Source organism: Homo sapiens, chromosome 9, assembly GCF_000001405.40.
Source record: "Homo sapiens chromosome 9, GRCh38.p14 Primary Assembly".
Taxonomy (NCBI): Eukaryota; Metazoa; Chordata; class Mammalia; order Primates; family Hominidae; genus Homo; species Homo sapiens.
In genome coordinates this window covers 106,485,160-106,502,474 of record NC_000009.12, presented here as the reverse complement: position 1 = coordinate 106,502,474, position 17,315 = coordinate 106,485,160, and the positions used below count along the sequence as shown (strand labels likewise).

The window sequence follows — 17,315 nt, the reverse complement described above, 5'->3', positions numbered from 1 at the left end:
TGAGTACTAAGTTACAAAGTGTGGTAAAAGATGACTGTGGAGTAAGATGTTCTCCTTACTTTTATGGGGAAACCAATAGCTTTTCATGCTGTGGGCTCCCTGAGGAAGCTCAAGAGAGACATTCCACCCCAGTAGAGGATGCTACTGTTCAGGACCAGCTATGCCCATGTTGTCTTGTGGCATCACTCAGTGGTGGACTTGGGAGGGAGAAGATACAGCTGCTCCTTGAGTTATGTAGGGTTACATCCCAATAAACGCATCATAATTTGAAAATGTCATAAGTTGAAAATGTATTTAATACACCCAACGTACTGAACATCATAGCTTAGCCTAGCTTACCTTAAATGTGCTCAGAACACATACATTAGCCTACAGTTGAGCACAGTCATCTGGCCACACAGTATACTTTAGAGTGTCAATTGTCTACCCTTGTGATTGCATGGCTGACTGGGGGCTACACAAGAGAGTATTTTACCACATATCACTACCCCTGGAAAACATCACAATTCAAAATTCAAAGTATGAATTCGACTGAAAGCATATTGCTTTTGCACCATTGTAAAGTAAAAAATAAATCATAAATCAAACCAGTCTAAGTCAGGGACCATCTGTACTTCTCACAAGGTAGTGAGAGGTGACAGCGTGCTGGCACCCCTCGCTCGCTCTCTGCGCCTCCTCTGCCTGGGCTCTCACTTTGGTGGCACTTGAGGAGCCCTTCAGCCCGCCGCTGCACAGTGGGAGCCCCTTTCTGGGCTGGCCAAGGCCAGAGCCGGCTCCCTCAGCTTGCAGGGAGGTGTGGAGGGAGAGGCGCAGGTGGGAACTACGGCTGCTTGTGATGCTTGTGGGCCAGCGCGATTTCCAGGTGGGCGTGGGCTCGGCAGCCCCCACTTGGGAGCCCCCTGGCCAGCAAGCCCCAGGCAGTGAGGGGCTTAACACCTGGGCCAGCAGCTGCTGTGCTCGACTTCTTGCCGGGCCTTAGCTGCCTCCCTGCAGGGCAGGGCTCAGGACCTGCAGCCCGCCATGCCTGAACCTCCCCTCGCCACCATGGGCTCCTGCCCAGCCTGAGCCTCCCCGACGAGCACCGCTCCCTGCTCCACAGCGCCCAGTCCCATCGACTGCCCAAGGGCTGAGGAGTGCGGGCGCACAGCGCAGGACTGGCAGGCAGCTCCACCTACGGCCCGGTGCGCGATCCACTGGGTGAAGCCAGCTGGGCTCCTGAGTCTGGTGGGGACTTGGAGGACCTTTATGTCTAGCTAAGGGATGGTAAATACACCAGTCGGCACTCTGTATCTAGCTCAAGGTTTGTAAACACACCAGTCAGCACCCTCTGTCTAGCTCAGGGTTTGTGAATGCACCAATCAACACTCTGTATCTAGCTACTCTGGTGGGGACTTGGAGAACCTTTGTGTCCACACTCTGTATCTAGCTAATCTGGTGGGGACGTGGAGAACTTTTGTGTCTAGCTCAGGGATTGTAAACGCACCAATCAGCACCCTGTCAAAACGGACCAATCAGCTCTCTATAAAACAGACCAACCGGCTCTCTGTAAAATGGACCAATCAGCAGGGTGTGGGTGGGGCCAGATAGGAGAATAAAAGGAGGCTGCAGCAGCCAGCAGTGGCAACCCCTGGGGTCCCCTTCCACACTGTGGAAGCTTTGCTTTCGCTCTTTGCAATAAATCTTGCTACTCCTCATTCGTTAGGTCCAGACTGCCTTTATGAGCTGTAACACTCACCGTGAAGGTCTGCAGCTTCACTCCTGAAGCCATCGAGACCACGAACTCACCTAGAGGAACGAACAACTCCAGACACGCCACCTTAAGAGCTGTAACACTCACTGCAAAGGTCTGCAGCTTCACTCCGGAGCCAGCGAGACCACGAACCCACCAGAACGAAGAAACTCCGAACACATCCGAACATCAGAAGGAACAAACTCCAAACATGCCACCTTTAAGAACTGTAACACTCACCGCGAGGGTCCGCGGCTTCATTCTTGAAGTCAGTGAGACCAAGAACCCACCAATTCCGGACACAGTAGCAAGTGGAGGAGGTCTTGTGAAAACATTCCACTTCAATGACCCAGCTTAAGACACATTCATGAGCCCCTGTGATGTATCACCTGGGATGCCCAGAAAGAACAGGGTAGAATTTGTTGGTTAGTAGAGCTCAGTGAAGCATGAGTTACATTTGCATACTCAGCATCTACCTTAAATCTGGCACACAGCAAGAGCTCAATGAATGCCTTTTCAACTTAAGGGAGGTACCTTTTCACCATTGCCCCAACCCCCACCTGACCACAGGTCACTCCACTCACACCTCCTGGTGGCTTTTCCCTATCACCGGTGGCTCTGCACTTTAACCCTTTTCAGTTTCATCTACTCCTATCCTCTTTCAGGTCTTGGGACTCTCACCCTCTTTATATATCAGTTTAGAACTTGGAATTCAAAAGATGTTTGAGCCATAGGATTTAATTTTGAATACAGTAAATGCATGATGATTAATCTTATTCTGACTTAGGGAGTTGAAATATCCCAAGTGCTAATGGCACAACCTAACTTTGTCTTCTTTATTTCTTCAACAGTCTTCCTTGCTTCCTAAAGTAGCAAACATGGAAAACATGTACAGTTGTCAGAAGCAGATACCATTTGAGATTTTGAACAATCACCTAGAGGAGGTCACTGAACATAAGAATAACAAGAGGACCTGAGGACTTACTGCCATTCACTTTTTTAGTAGACATTTCTTGAGCCTCAGTGGTGCAGCAGGTTATCTGCTGTAATACTTGGTTGTATTTACTGATTTTCCTGTTGTTCTCCCACCTGCCCCATGTCTATTCCCTGTGAGTTCATTAGGGACTCTGTACCTGCAGAACTTTCCCACAGCATTAGTAGGTGATTGGGTTTTAACTTCTCTAATTCAGAAGTGACCAAACTTCTGGAAAGCTCTTCAGATGTTTGGTAAGCCTCCAATTCTCCTTTTATAATCAGACCTGTGAATACCATAATTCCCAAAGTGTTAGACAATTACTTCAGAAAGTATTTCAGTTCCTCTTCTGCATTTAGTCCAAGAATTTTTTTTTACTCTTTCTCCTTCATTTGAGGTTCTAAGGATTAAAGGGTAAATGATTGCTACTTAAAGAAAACTGGGCTCTTTTCATCTTACTATTTATACTTACCTCTGACCTAATAAGTCTAACAACTCATATAAAAAACTATTGATTGAATTTATCCACTGATAGGGACCATGACCTAAGCTAGCGGCATCAAAACCTAGAGACAAGCTACCTGGATTTGAATTCTTGTTCTGCCACTTAACAGTTGGGTGACACTGAGCAATTTACTTAAATGTTTCATGCCTCATTTTTCTCAACCGTAAACTCAGGAAGATAATAAAAGGTTGGAGAATTGAGTTCATATATGGAAAGCTATTAGCACAGTCAAGACAGTAGTAACTCCTATATAGGCTTGCTATAGCAGTAGTTATAGTAGAACTACTAATAGAAGATGTAGAAGTACTAGTAAAGTAAGACATACATTTACACACTAATAATACAACATAAAAAATCAGAACTCATGGAAATAGAGAGTAGAATGTTTGTTATCAGAGGCTTGGAAGGGTAGTGAGGTGAGGGTAGGAAACGGGGATGCTTAATGGGTACAAAAATATAGTTAGATACAATGAATAAGATCTAATATTTGATAGCATCACAGGGTGACTACAGTCAGCAATAATTTGTTGTACACTTTAGAACACCAAAAGGAGTACAGTTGGAATGTTCATAACAAAAAGACGTAATGAATGCTTGAGGTAATAGGAACCTCATTTGCTTGGTGTGATTATTACACAGTATATGACTATATTAAAATTTCTCATGTACTCCATTAATATATACACCTACTATATACCCGTAAAAATTAAAAATTAATTTTTTTAAATGAAGCGATTCATACCTGATACAAACTAAATTCTATTCTGCTCAAAAGTATTCATTGCTGCGTGACAATTTCTCCACAGATAGCAATGTCAAAATTCCCCACCTCCCTTCACTATGCTTCCATGCCCTCCAAGCAGTCTTCCAAGGGCTAATTCAACTTTCCAGGTACCTCAGTACTGGAAAGGTGGTGTGGTAAATAGAGAACAGAATGATCCTTGCCACAGGGAAGTGGTAAATTGACATTTCAAAATCAATCTTGTGTGAATTATTATTAGCCTGTCACTGGAAATCTCTCCTCTCCAGGAGTATTGATAAGGTCATGTTCTGGACCTCCAAGACTGTGGACTTAAGACTTCAGATCATGGTGAATTTATGGAAATTTGCTCTCCTGAAGATTCGTTGTCAGCCTTGCCTGGAGACATTGCTTCTGCTTCATCATGTGCTATGCCTCTTCATTGCAACAGACTTTAATAGGCCACACTTTAGCCATAGTGGAATCTCTAAGCCCTCCAATCTACAATGAAATAACACCTTTCCGTGGAAGACATGCTTCAGGAAGCAGGACTGGAAGCTCCGTAAAATTAGAATCTGTGTCTGTCTTATATACCTAGCACAGTGCCAGGCGTGTAGTAGTGATCAGTATTTGTCATACAGTTTTATGCACTCCCAACAATCTTAACAAAGACTTCCAGGAAGAATGAGCTTATCCTGCTTTCACAAATAATAAAGCAAAATTTAATTAAACAATCTATACATCCTAATGTGCTGCATACAAATTCTTTATGCTGAAAACCCATTTAAACTCTCATTCTGCTAAAAAAAAAATACATAAATAAAGACCTTCCTTTGCACATGTCCCATTTCCAACACTTTCAAATAATTTTAATCTACCACTAGTAGTGGAGAAGGTCACAACATTTCTCATTCCACAAAGGCAATGTAAAAGAAAGGAAAGCTAGATAGTACATTCAGAATGAGGGATATTCTGATGTCTATTTTGAGGAGAAGGTCAACTCAAGGTTAAAAGACAATGTAAAGAATTGCCAAAAATGAGAGACTATACTTCTTGCACTTTAGGGATTATGGCAAAAGTCTGACCTGCTTGAGATGCCCTTAGAAGTCTGGGACCTCTGGTTCAGATGATCAAGTGCAGTGTTCAGTTAAAAGATGCCATTTTTGCAACACAAACCACAAAGCAGCTACCCACATTCATTATCGAGTCCCAGACGCCATCTGGGAAAACCAGCGAGTGCAACCACCAGTAGTATTGGGCAGATTTTCTATTTCAAGAATTTCTGCTTATATCTTTATTCTTTCTTTAGACATTAAAAAATATATATTTTAAAGTTTTTTTCTTAGAGTTTTTTTGGCACTTCTTTAGTTAAGTTCCAAAGTTTCCATTTGGATTTCTCATTAATCAGAAAATTGTATAGAACTATGTGCGTGGGGGCTTGTGTTTATATTTAGATGCCTGTTTGGGTTTTCTTTGTTTTTTGACATCTTTTAGTTGTTAAGTTCTAATTTTATTGCATAATGGTTAGTAAATTTGGCCTATAAAATTAACTTTTTGAAATTTGTTAATTTTTTAGTTGTGGTCTTGTTGATGGACAAATTTTATGACTGCTGCATGTGTTTCAAAGTGATGTGGAATCTCTATTTATTGAGTACCAAGTTTTCTATACATTAGGTGAAATCTATTGATATATTATTAAAATTAATACCCTTTTCTATTTTCTATCTGTTTAATTTTCGTTTCTGAGAGGCTTGTTCAAGTTCTCAAAAATAATTTTGTTTCTTTCGTTTTTTGAGATAATTCTCTCAATTTTGATTCAACTATTTTTAACTATTTTTTACACGTATAACAGTCTATTCTTGGTTGCATTTATCAATAGGATGTATACATCATCATTTCTTTCGATTATTTTTCCCTTATATCTTAATTTTATACTTTATTTTTAAATTTACATAATGATACATACTTATGGGTTCCATGGTGATGTTTCAATACATGTAAGTATAGTGATCAGAGCAGGGTAATTAACATATCCATCAGCTCAAACATTTATCCTTTCTTTGTGTTGGGGATATTCAATATATTTGAATATCTCTTTGATTCTAATATAAATATTATTGTTCAATTCATCCAACAGTGGTATAGCACACTAGAATTTATCTCTCCTATCAAGTTGGATTTTGTATCCTTTAACAAATCTCTCCATATTCTTCCCCTTCCCCTACCCTTCCTAGCCTCTAGGATCTTCTATTTTACTTCTTACTTCTATGAGGTTAATTTCTTTGGCTTCCACATATGAGTGAGAACATGTGGTATTTAACTTTCTGTTCCTAGCTTATTTCACTTACTATCGTGTCCTCACTTTCAAAAGTGTTGCCATGAATGACAGGATTTCATTCTCTTTTGTGTCTGAATAGTATTCCATTGTATATACAGCACATTTCCTTTATCCAGTCATCTGATGTTGGACACCGAGGTTGATTCCTTATCTTGGCTGTTGTGAATAGTGCTGCAAGAAACATGGAGCACAGATGTCTCTTCAATATACTAATTTCCTTTCCTTTGGATAATGCGTGGCAGTGGGATTGCTGGATCATACAGTTGTTCTATTGTAGTTTTTTGTGGAAACTTCATACTGCTATCCATAGTGGCTATACTAGTTAACATTCCCACCAAGAGTGTATAGGAGTTCCCTTTCCTCTGTATCCTCACCAGCATTTGCTAATTTTTGTCTTTTTGATAATAGCCACCCTACCTGGGGTGAAATGATACCTCTTATTTTATACGATATTAATACAGTTATGTCTGCTTTATGTTTGCTAACCATTTATAACCAAGTATTTTCACTCTTTTATTTTAGTGAAAAGATTGTTCTGTCACTTGAAAATAGCAAATGATTCAATTTTTAAAATACAATCTGAGACTCTGTTTTGTATAGGTGAGTTTAACCCATTTATATTGATGGTGCTTACCAAGTTTGGGTTTGTTCCTGCATCACAGTTTGTGTTTTCAATTTACCATGATTTCTGATTGCTTCTCTCTCCCTCCAACTTATGCCTTCTCTTGTCTTTATTGAATTTTCTTTCTAAAAACTAGATTATTAGTTATGCAGTCTCTGTGACTAAAACACCAAAAGCAATGGCAACAAAAGCCAACATTGACAAATGAGATCTAATTAAACTAAAGAGCTTCTGCACAGCGAAAGAAACTATCATCAGAGTGAACAGGCAACCTACAGAATGGGAGAAAATTTTTGCAAACTATCCATCTGACAAAGGGCTAATATCCACAGTCTGCAAGGAACTTAATGAAATTTACAAGAAAAAAACAAACAGGCCGGGTGCGTTGCCTCACGCCTGTAATCCCAACACTTTGGGAGGCAGAGGCGGGTGGATCACTAGGTCAGGAGATCGAAACCATCCCGGCTAACATGGTGAAACCCCATCTCTACTAACAATACAAAAAATTAACTGGGCGTGGTGGCGAGCGCCTTTAGTACCAGCTACTTGGGAGGCTGAGGCAGGAGAATGGCGTGAACCCAGGAGGCGGAGCTTGCAGTGAGCTGAGATCCCGCCACTGCGCTCCAGCCTGGGAGACAGAGCGAGACTCTGTCTCACAAAACAACAGCAACAACAAAACCAACCCCCATCAAAAAGTGGGCGAAGGATGTGAACGGACACGTCTCAAAAGAAGACATTGGCCAGGCTCAGTGGCTCACGCCTGTAATCCCAGCACTTTGGAAGGCAGAGGTAGGTGGATCACGAGGTCAGGAGTTCAAGACAAGCCTGGTCAGGATGGTGAAACCTTGTCTCTACTAAAAAAAATACAGAAAATTAGCCGGCCATGGTGGTGGGCGCCTGTAATCCCAGCTACTCAAGAGACTGAGGCAGAGAATTGCTTGAAACCAGGAGGCGGAGATTGCGGTGAGCCGAGATCCCGCCACTGCCTGGGCAACAGAGCAACACTGCATCTCAAAAAAAAAAAAGACACTTATGCGGCCAAGAAACATATGAAAAAAAGCCATCATCACTGGTCATTAGAGAAATGCAAATCAAAACGACAATGAGATAATACCATTTCCCACCAGTTAGAATAGCAAGCATTAAAAAGTCAGGAAATGACAGGTGCTGGAGAGGATATGGAGAAATAGGAATGCTTTTACACTGTTGGTGGGAGTGTAAATTAGTTCAACCATTGTGGAAGACAGTGTGACGATTCCTCAAGGATCTGGTACCAGAAATACCATTTGACCCAATAACCCCATTACTGGGTATATACCCAAAGGATTATAAATCATTCTACTATAAAGATACATGCACATGTATGTTTACTGCAGCACTATTTGCAATAGCAAAGTCTTGGAACCAACTCAAATGCCCATCAATGATAGACTGGATAAAGAAAATGTGGCACATATACACCATGGAATACTATGCAGCAATAGAAAAGGATGAGTTCATGTCCTTTGCAGAGACACGGATGAAGCTGGAAACCATCATTCTCAGCAAACTAACACAGGAATAGAAAACCAAACACTACATGTTCTCACTCATAAGTGGGAGCTGAACAGTGAGAACACACAGATACAGGGAAGGGAACATCACACACTGGGGCCTGTCGGGGGTTGGGGGTAGGAGAGGGATAGCATTAGGAGAAATACCTAATGTAGATGATGGGTTGATGGGTGCAGCAAATAACCATGGCACATGCATATCTACGTAACATACCTGCACGTTCTGCACATGTTTCCCAGAACTTAAAGTATAATTAAAAAAATAGATTCTATTTAAAAGGTTTTCATCTGTGTCTTCTAGTAGTTATCATTACATTTTAACAGCCTTATAATTTATCAATAAATGCCATAAATTTGACCCATTTAAAGTGTACAATTCAATAGTTTTTAGTATATTTATAGTTATATGACCATCCCCATAATCTAACTTTAAAACATTTTTATTACCATAAAAAAGAAACATACTAAATAACAGTTATTCTCCATTACGCTCCCCACCTTTCTCCTGCTCCAGTTCTAGGCAAACACTAACCTACCTTCTTTCTCTACAGATTCACCTATCCTGGACATTTTATATTAATGGAATCATATAATATGTGGTCATTTGTGACTGGCTTCTTTCACTTAGCATGCTGATTTTGATATTCATCCATGTCGTAGCACATACCAGTGCTATCTCATTCCTTTTTATTATTGAAATATATTCCATTGTATACATATACTACATTTTACCTATTTATCAACTGATAGACATTGGATTGTTTCACTTTTTGGTTATTATGAATAATGCTGCTATGAACATTCATGTAAAAGTCTTTGTGTAGACATATATTTATACTTGTTTTGGGTACAAACCTGGGAGTAGAATTTCTGGGTCATGCAGTAACCCTATGTTTAACCTTTTGAGGAAATGCCAAACTTTTCAAAGCAGCTCTATCATTTCACGTTACCACCAGCAATGTATGAAGGTTCCAATTCTGCCACATTCTTACCAACACTTGTTATTGTCTTTTTTTTTAAGTTATAGGTATTGTGAGGCATGTGAAGTGGTATCTCATTATGGTTTAGATTTTATTTTCCCTAATGACGTGTGATGCTGAATATCTTTCCATGTGCTTATTGGCAATTAATATATATTCTTTAGAGAAGATAGATTATATGCTTATTGGCTTTTGGAATCCTTTGCCCATTTTTAATTGCGTTGTCTTAATTAGTTGTAAGAAATTTTATATATTCTGATACAAATACCTTATTAGATACATGATTTGCAAATATTTTCTTCAAGTCTGTGGGTTGTCTTTACTTTTTTGATGGAATATTTTGAAGCAGTTTTTTTTCTTCAGCTTTTAAGTTCTGGGGTACACGTGTAGGATATGCAGGTGATACAGGAGTGCTGAGAATGGAAGAGCATGGTCCCTTTAAATGATACAGAAGCGGGGAAGGGAAGTGCTGCTTACAGAAGGGAGTGGTCCCTGGCTGGGGCTCCACCCCCATGGACCTGGGTGAGGACAGGCATTTTTGTTTTCCTGTCCAAATGTTGCATTTCCCAAGACCACCCTGGCCTGCCACACCCCCATCCTGTGCCTATAGAAACCCCCAAGACCCTAGCAGGCACACACAGGCAGCTGGACATCGAGAGGAGCACATCAGCAGATTAACCCACGGGTGACTAGACGTTGAGAGGAACACACCACTGACAGGCACCGGCACGCCAGCCCAGGCCGCCAAGCAGACCGACTCAGGGGGAAAACCATTTCCCTTCTGGCTCCCCCATCTGCTGAGAGCTACTTCCACTCAATAAAACCTTGCACTCATTCTCCAAGCCCACTTGTGAGCCTATTCTTCTGGTAAAGCAAGGCAGGAACCCAGGATACAGAAAGCCCTCTGTCCTTGCAACAAGGTAGAGGGTCTAACTGAGCTGAGTAACACAAGCCACCTATGGAGGGCTAAACTAAAAAAGCACCCTGTAATGCATGCCTACTGGGGCTTCAGCTGTCAACATTCACCCCTAGACACTGCTGTGGGGTCAGAGCCCCACAGCCTGCCTGTCTGTATGCTCCACTAGAGGTTTGAGCAACGGGGCACTGAAGAAGCGAACCACACCCCCATTGCACACCCTGTGAGGGGGACAAGGAAACCTTTCCTATTTCACAGGTTTGTTACAGAGATAAGCATGTGCCAAGGTGGTTTGCTGCACAGATCATCCCATCACCAAGGTATTAACACCAGCACCCATTAGCTATTCTTCCTGATGCTCTCCCGTCACTCCCACCCCCACAGGCCCCAGTGTGTGTTGTTCCCCAGCTTCAAGTGTCCATGTGTTCTTATAATTCACCTCCCACTTATGAGTGAGAACATGTGGTGTTTGGTTGTCTGTTCCTGCCTTTGTCTGCTGAGGATAATGGCTTCCAACTCCATCCGTGTATCTGCAAAGGACATGATCTCGTTCCTTTTTATGGCTTCATAGTAGTCCATGGTGTATATGTACCACATTTTCTTTATCCAGTCTGTCATTGATGGACATTTAGGTTGATTCTGTGTCTTTGCTACTGTGAATAGTGCTGCAGTGAACATATGCATGCATGTGTTTTTATAACAGAATGATGTATATTCCTTTGGGTATATACCCAGTAATGGAATTCTAGGTCAAATGGTACTTCTGCCACTAGGTCTTTGAGAAATTGCCACACTGTCTTCCACAATAGTTAAACTAATTTACATGCCCACCAACAGTGTAAAAGTGTTCTGAAGCACAAATTTTAAAATCTAATGAAGTTCCCGCCTTATCAATTGTCTTCTTTATTGATTGTGCTTTTGATATTATAGCTAAGAAATTATTGCCTAAACTAAGGTCATGGAGATTTATTCCTGCTTTCTTCCAGGAGTTTTATAGTTTTAGTTCTTACATTTAGGTCTTTGATCCACTTTGAGTTCATTTTTGTATATTGTTTAATGTAGGGCATCTACAATTTTTTTTGCATATGGATATCCAGTTTTCTAAGAACCTTTTAATAAAAAGGCTATTCTTTTGTTATTGAATTGTCCTCTACTCTTCCGTTGAAAATCAACTGGCCATAAATGTTAGGGTTTGGCCTCTCAACTTTATTCCATTGATTTATGCCCATCCTTGTGCCAATATCACACTGTCTTGATTACCGTAACTTTTTAGTAAGTTTTGAGACCACAAAGTGTGAGTCCTCTAACTTTGCTCATTTCCAAGATTGTTCTCACTATTCTGAATTCCTTATATTTCCATATGAACTTTAGGATCAACTTCCTGATTTCTTAGTTCACTAATATTTGGAAGGGGATGGTTTTGAATCTGTAGATCAATTTGGAAAGTATTGCCATCCTAATGATATTAATATTTCCAATTCATAAAAATTGGGTATCTATTTATGTAGATTTTCTTTAATTTCTTTCAATAATTTTTTTAGCTTTCCACTGTGTCTTACATGTCCAGTATTAAATTTATTCCCAAGTACTGTATTATTTATGCTATTGTAAATGAAATAATTTTCTTATTTTTATTTTCAGCTTAGTTTACTAGTTATAGAAATATAATGTTTCGATGTTGATCTTATATCCTGCCACTTTGTCAAAATTCTAATCAGTTCTAATAGTTTTGTTTAGTGGATTCCTCAGGATTTTTTTATATGCAAGATCTTATCATTGATAATAGACATAGTCTGACTTCTTTCTTTCCAATCATATGCCATTTTTTCTTTTGCTTGCCTACTTGTCCTGGCTAGAACCTCCTGTACAATACTGAACACAAGTGGCAAGAGCAGACGTTTTTGTCTTGTTCCTGATCTTAGGTACAAAAAATTGAATCTCTCACTATTAAGTAGGATGTTAGCTGTTGGCTTTTCACAGATACTCTTGATCTGATTGAGAACATCCCTTTCTATTTTTTGGTGCTTTTTATCATGAAAGGGTGTTAGATTTTGTCAAATGCTTTTCTGCATGTATTGATTTGTCATGTAATTTTTTTCATTGTTTTATTAATGTGGTCCATTAAGTTGATATTTGGATATAAACCCACCTTGCATTGTTAGGATAAACACCACTTGGTCAGGGTTTATAATTCTTTATATGTCTTGCTGGATTCAGTTTGCTATCCTTTGGGGGATTTTTTGAAAATTTTTGCATTCATATTTGTGAGGAACATTGATCTATAGTTTTCTTGTGATGCCTCTGTCTAGTTTTATATTATGCATTCAATTTTTAACATCTATTTAAACATATTTTAACATGTTTTTCTAAGTAAGAACTACTATATGAATATCTATATTCTGCTTTTCTGCAAACAAAACAAACATCAATATATTTTTACATTCTGCTCTCCCTCTCAATTCTTTAATTCATATGCCAACCTATAGTCTACACTGAAACAATAATCTCATTTTTTTTTTTGAGACAGTCTCATACTATCGCCCAGACTGGAGTGCAGTGGTGCAATCTCAGCTCAGTGCAAACTCCACCTCCTGGGTTCAAGCAATTCTCCTGGCTCAGCCTCCTGAGTAGCTGGGATGACAGGCATGTGGCACTACACCTGGCTAGTTTTTGTATTTTTAGTAGAGACGGGGTTTCACCATGTTGGCCAGGCTGGTCTCGAACTCCTGACCTCAAGTGATCCGCCCGCCTCAGCCTCCCAAAGTGCTGGGATTACAGGCGTTAGCCACCGTGCTTGGCCTGAAACAATAATTTCTTATTTCTTGTACTTATCATTGCTTCATGAATCTCACCTTCTACTTCCTGAATTTTTCTCCTTCCTGTAGAATATCCTCTAGTTATTTTTTTCTTTCAGAGAATGTGGGTTATACATTTTCTGAGGTCATGTATCTCTAGAAATATCATCTTTTTGTCTTTAATCACCAGTGAAATTTTGGCTGGTCATAGAACTCTTGGCTTGAAGTAATTTACATCTAGAACTTTTCATTTCTCATATAGCTGAAGCAATGGCTGATGATAATCTGACTCTTCTTCCTTTGTAGGTGAATTTTTTGTCTGGATGATTTTCTGACTTTCTTGCCCCATTGAGATCCTGAAATTTCTATGTGCAGATTTTTTTTTTTTTTAATTCTTGGTGAGTATTTTCAATCTATGAAATGTCTTTCCTTAGTTCTGGGAACTTTTATTATTTATTTAAGGATTCATTTCTTCTGGAACACCTAGTAGACGGATGTTAAAATGTGGAATTTGTTTTCTATAATTCTTAACCTTTCTTTAGCTATCCCAATCTTTTCATTTCTGCCACATTCTATGAGAATTCCTGGCCTCAATCTTCTAGCCCACCAGTTCCCTTGTCACTTGTGTCCATTCTACCACACAAGTGGTCTGTTGGATGTTTTTCTTTACATTCATCAACTGAATTTGTAATGAATGAGCTCTAGTTGATGTTTTATTGCTACAAATCCTTTTAGCTTTAACTGTGTGATTTTAACTTCATTTATCCTAGAGACACGTACTGCTTCCTCGCACCCTTCTGATTCACCAGGTAGAGGTTGTGAATTTGAGTCTGCTATTTCTTTTTCATAGTGTTGGCTTTCTTCAAATTAGTTGGTGAGGGTGGGTTGTGTATCCACCTTTGCAGCTGAGTTTCTCTGTTTGGCTCTGCTCTATTTGTTCCCGCAGCCTGTTTGAGAGGAGCGGTGTGCACGCTTCCTAGATTGTACTCACCCTTTTCACTGAGGTCTGAGAAGTGGTAGGACCTGCATTTGAATAGCTTCGTGTGGTGATTTGTGTGCCAACTGTGGATGCTCTCCTTTCTCCTGGGTGTTACCAGCCACCTGTGGTCTTGCCTTATCTCCCTAATCCAAATTCCTGAAAAATCACTGCGCCTGGAGACAAGCAGCCCTGTAGTAGCCAGCTGCCCTAGGGGGAAGAATGGGGTCAGAATGGTGCAACCCCATTGCATCAGCTCAGTCACCTCTGGATCTCCTCCTCTTCTCTGTATGTGCTCTTTCTGGGCAAGTCAACTTTTTCAATAGAACTTCCTCGGTGCCTTTTGGGTTATAGTTTCCCTTTCACACCAATCTCACCTGCTTTCTGCTTTTAAAGAATTCTTTGTTGCTTTTGAACCCATCTGGGGCCTCACTTCTTGGTTTAGGAACTCAATTTGGAATTTTTTTTCTTTTATATTTTTTCTATAATGTTTAGAGATTTGGTATGGTAGAGGAGGCTGTAGCAAAGTTGAGACTGTCATCTTGTAACAAAAGTTAGTGGCCCTTTATTGGAACACACAGTTCTGTGGCCACCATCATGCTCCTTGTTCAGCTGAATCCTCTGATTGAGAGAAAGGGACAGAGCAAGGGAGACGAACTCAGAGAGCTGTTTGAGACTCATTTGAGGAAGGGGCATCTCTTAAGTAGCCCAGGGCTGCCTATTCTATTTACATGCCCTGTAATGACAGGTGCCACCTGCAGCAAAGGAACAAAGAGGGTATTTTTCAGAAGTATGGGACAGAATCAGAAGCTCAGCTATAGACAAACCCCAGCTGGCTCCTTTTACCCCATCAATAAAAGGCCCTGTGCTTGCACTGTGGCTCCATTATCCCCTGCAGCATCAAAGCCAGGACAGGCTTCTCCTATCTCGGATGCTGACTGCAGCTCTTCAGCTGAGCTCTGCTTCCTGGTGCACACGCAGCTGCACACACTCCACATGCTCTTTGAGTGTCTTCTTATTCTTTCTTCAGACTCACCAAGGGCAGCAAGACGTTTCTTCCAAATGAGTTGTTTCAAAGCTGCTAAAGTGTTTGAATTTTTAGCTTTGCACATTATTATTCTTTTTCTTTAACATCTATCTTTACTGTTAGATATACCAAAACAATTATTAATAAACATTCATTGAGAAGATGCTATGTGCAAGTCCCCTGGATAAAGAAAAGGTCAGGAAGTCCATGGTATTCCCAGAGAGTCATCCGAGTATCCCTGAAGGAGGAAAGCCCACAAATGAAGTGGACATCTACAGTTTTGTTCGTCCAAAACCATTTCCCATCTTCTGGTAACAGCAATTCATCTTCCTTTGAGGAACTACTCCTTGACTCTGACTGTGTGGTTTTGGAGAGATCAGCAATCCTAGAGCCTTACCTTAGTCACGTTACCCAGGCCTGCTCAAGCATGTACTCCACAGTGGTGAGCAGGAGTTAGTCCTGGAGGCATTCATGTGTCAAGCAGGCCAACCCGAGCCCTTCCCCGGGATTAACATACCCAAAGCAGTGTTAGGTACTGAATGTCTGTGTCCCCACTACCTCAAATTCTGATGATGAAATCTAACCCTCAATGTAACGGTAATTGCATGAGGGGTCCTCAAGAGACAGTCAGGTCATGAGCGTGCAGCCCTCCAGATGGTAATAGTGCCCTTATAAGAGAGACCAGAGAGCTTGCCTGCTGTTTCTACCACATGAAGATACAAGGAGAAGTTAGCAATCTGCAACTGGGAAGAGGGCCCTCACCAGAACCAGACCATGCTGGCACCCTGATCTCAGTCTTCCCAGACTCCAGAACTGTGAGAAATAAATGTCTGTCATTTAAGGCACCCCGTCCGTGGTACTTTGATACAGCAGCCAGAACTAAGGCAAACAGTGAGAAAACAATTCCTTCCTCCGAGTCCCTCCAGCTGCGATGATGTAAGCCTGAAGTTGCGTCTACATGTGCCACCTTCTTCTTCTACCCACTTCACAAGGAAGATGCTCCTCCATCAGAGAGAAAATGAGACCAACATCAGGGAAGAGAAGACAAGGGAGATGGAGCAAGAAAGAGAAAGATCTGAGGACACCACATGAGGTCCTGCAGCCACTGATGTCTCTTACCTTGTGACACCTGCTCTCCATTCAATTATGCCTTGTATTCTAAATATTCCACACCTGTGTCTTCTATGCATCTTTGCACATGGTTTATAACACAGAGAAAGTTTTTAATTCCTTCCCTTGTTTTCCTCCTGGGAAATGCCTAATCATCACCAGAGGGCTAGCCCAGATATCCTGAGTTCCTCCACATACAGTTAGAATCTCTGCCCCTGCCCCAACCCAGAGCACTTTGGGCACACTTCTAGGATGGCCTTGTGTATTAGTCCATCCTCACACTGCTAATAAAGACATACTCGAGACTGGATAATTTATAAAGAAAAAGAGGGTTAATGGACTCACAGTTCCACGTGGCTGGGGAGGCCTCATAATCATGGCAGAAGGTGAAAGAGGAGCGAAGTCACATCCTACATGGTGGCAGGCAAGAGAGTGTGTGCAGGGGAACTGCCCTTTATAAAACCATCAGATCTCGTGAGACTTATTCACTACCATGAAAACAGTATGGGGAAAATGGCCTCCATGATTCAATTATCTCCACCTGTCCCCACCCTTGACACATGGGGATTATTACAATTCAAGGTGAGATTTGAGTGGGGACGCAGCCGAACCATGTCACTTTGTGATAACTGTTACTACTTCTTTTTTTTTTTACATCATACTGTGCATTCCTTGAGGGCAGGGGCTGCACCCAATTCATCCCTATATCCAAATCTGGAATCCCTATCTGGTGCCTCAGATAGGTCTAAGCACAAGATAGAGTGTCTCCGTCCCTATGTGCTACTAGAGCTTTCTCATGAGAGGAATCTGGGGGAAATGTGTGGGACTAGGAAGGAAGATGATTCTTCTAGGAAGAGGGCTTGCTCCTGCCATCAACCACCCCAGTGCTGTCTCTTGAATCTTTCCTTTGCCAGAGGTTCTCTGATTCACATGGTGAGTAAAGACTGGATTCCCTCTTGAGGGACAGCAGGAAGGGGTTTAGGGAGCTCTTGTATGTCATCTGAGGTGCTTGGATTCTATACAGAGTAACTGGGAGCCACTAAAGGATTCTA

At 41.1% G+C, this 17,315-nt stretch overlaps 1 long non-coding RNA gene across 6 annotated transcripts in view; it reads right to left on the bottom strand.

The window, feature by feature from the left end:
* The window catches only part of LOC107987108 (uncharacterized), a 675,821-nt gene that overhangs the window by 102,327 nt on the left and 556,179 nt on the right, over window positions 1–17,315 (bottom strand). For 2 of the 6 annotated variants that reach the window (XR_007061714.1, XR_007061711.1), the window contains exon 2: window positions 1,970–2,118. The exons of 3 other annotated variants lie outside the window; for them this stretch is intronic. This is a non-coding gene — a long non-coding RNA (uncharacterized LOC107987108). Of the gene's footprint in view, window positions 1–1,969; window positions 2,119–2,862; window positions 2,989–17,315 lie in introns of all 6 variants that reach the window. One more of the 6 variants, XR_007061713.1, reaches the window with a different exon arrangement.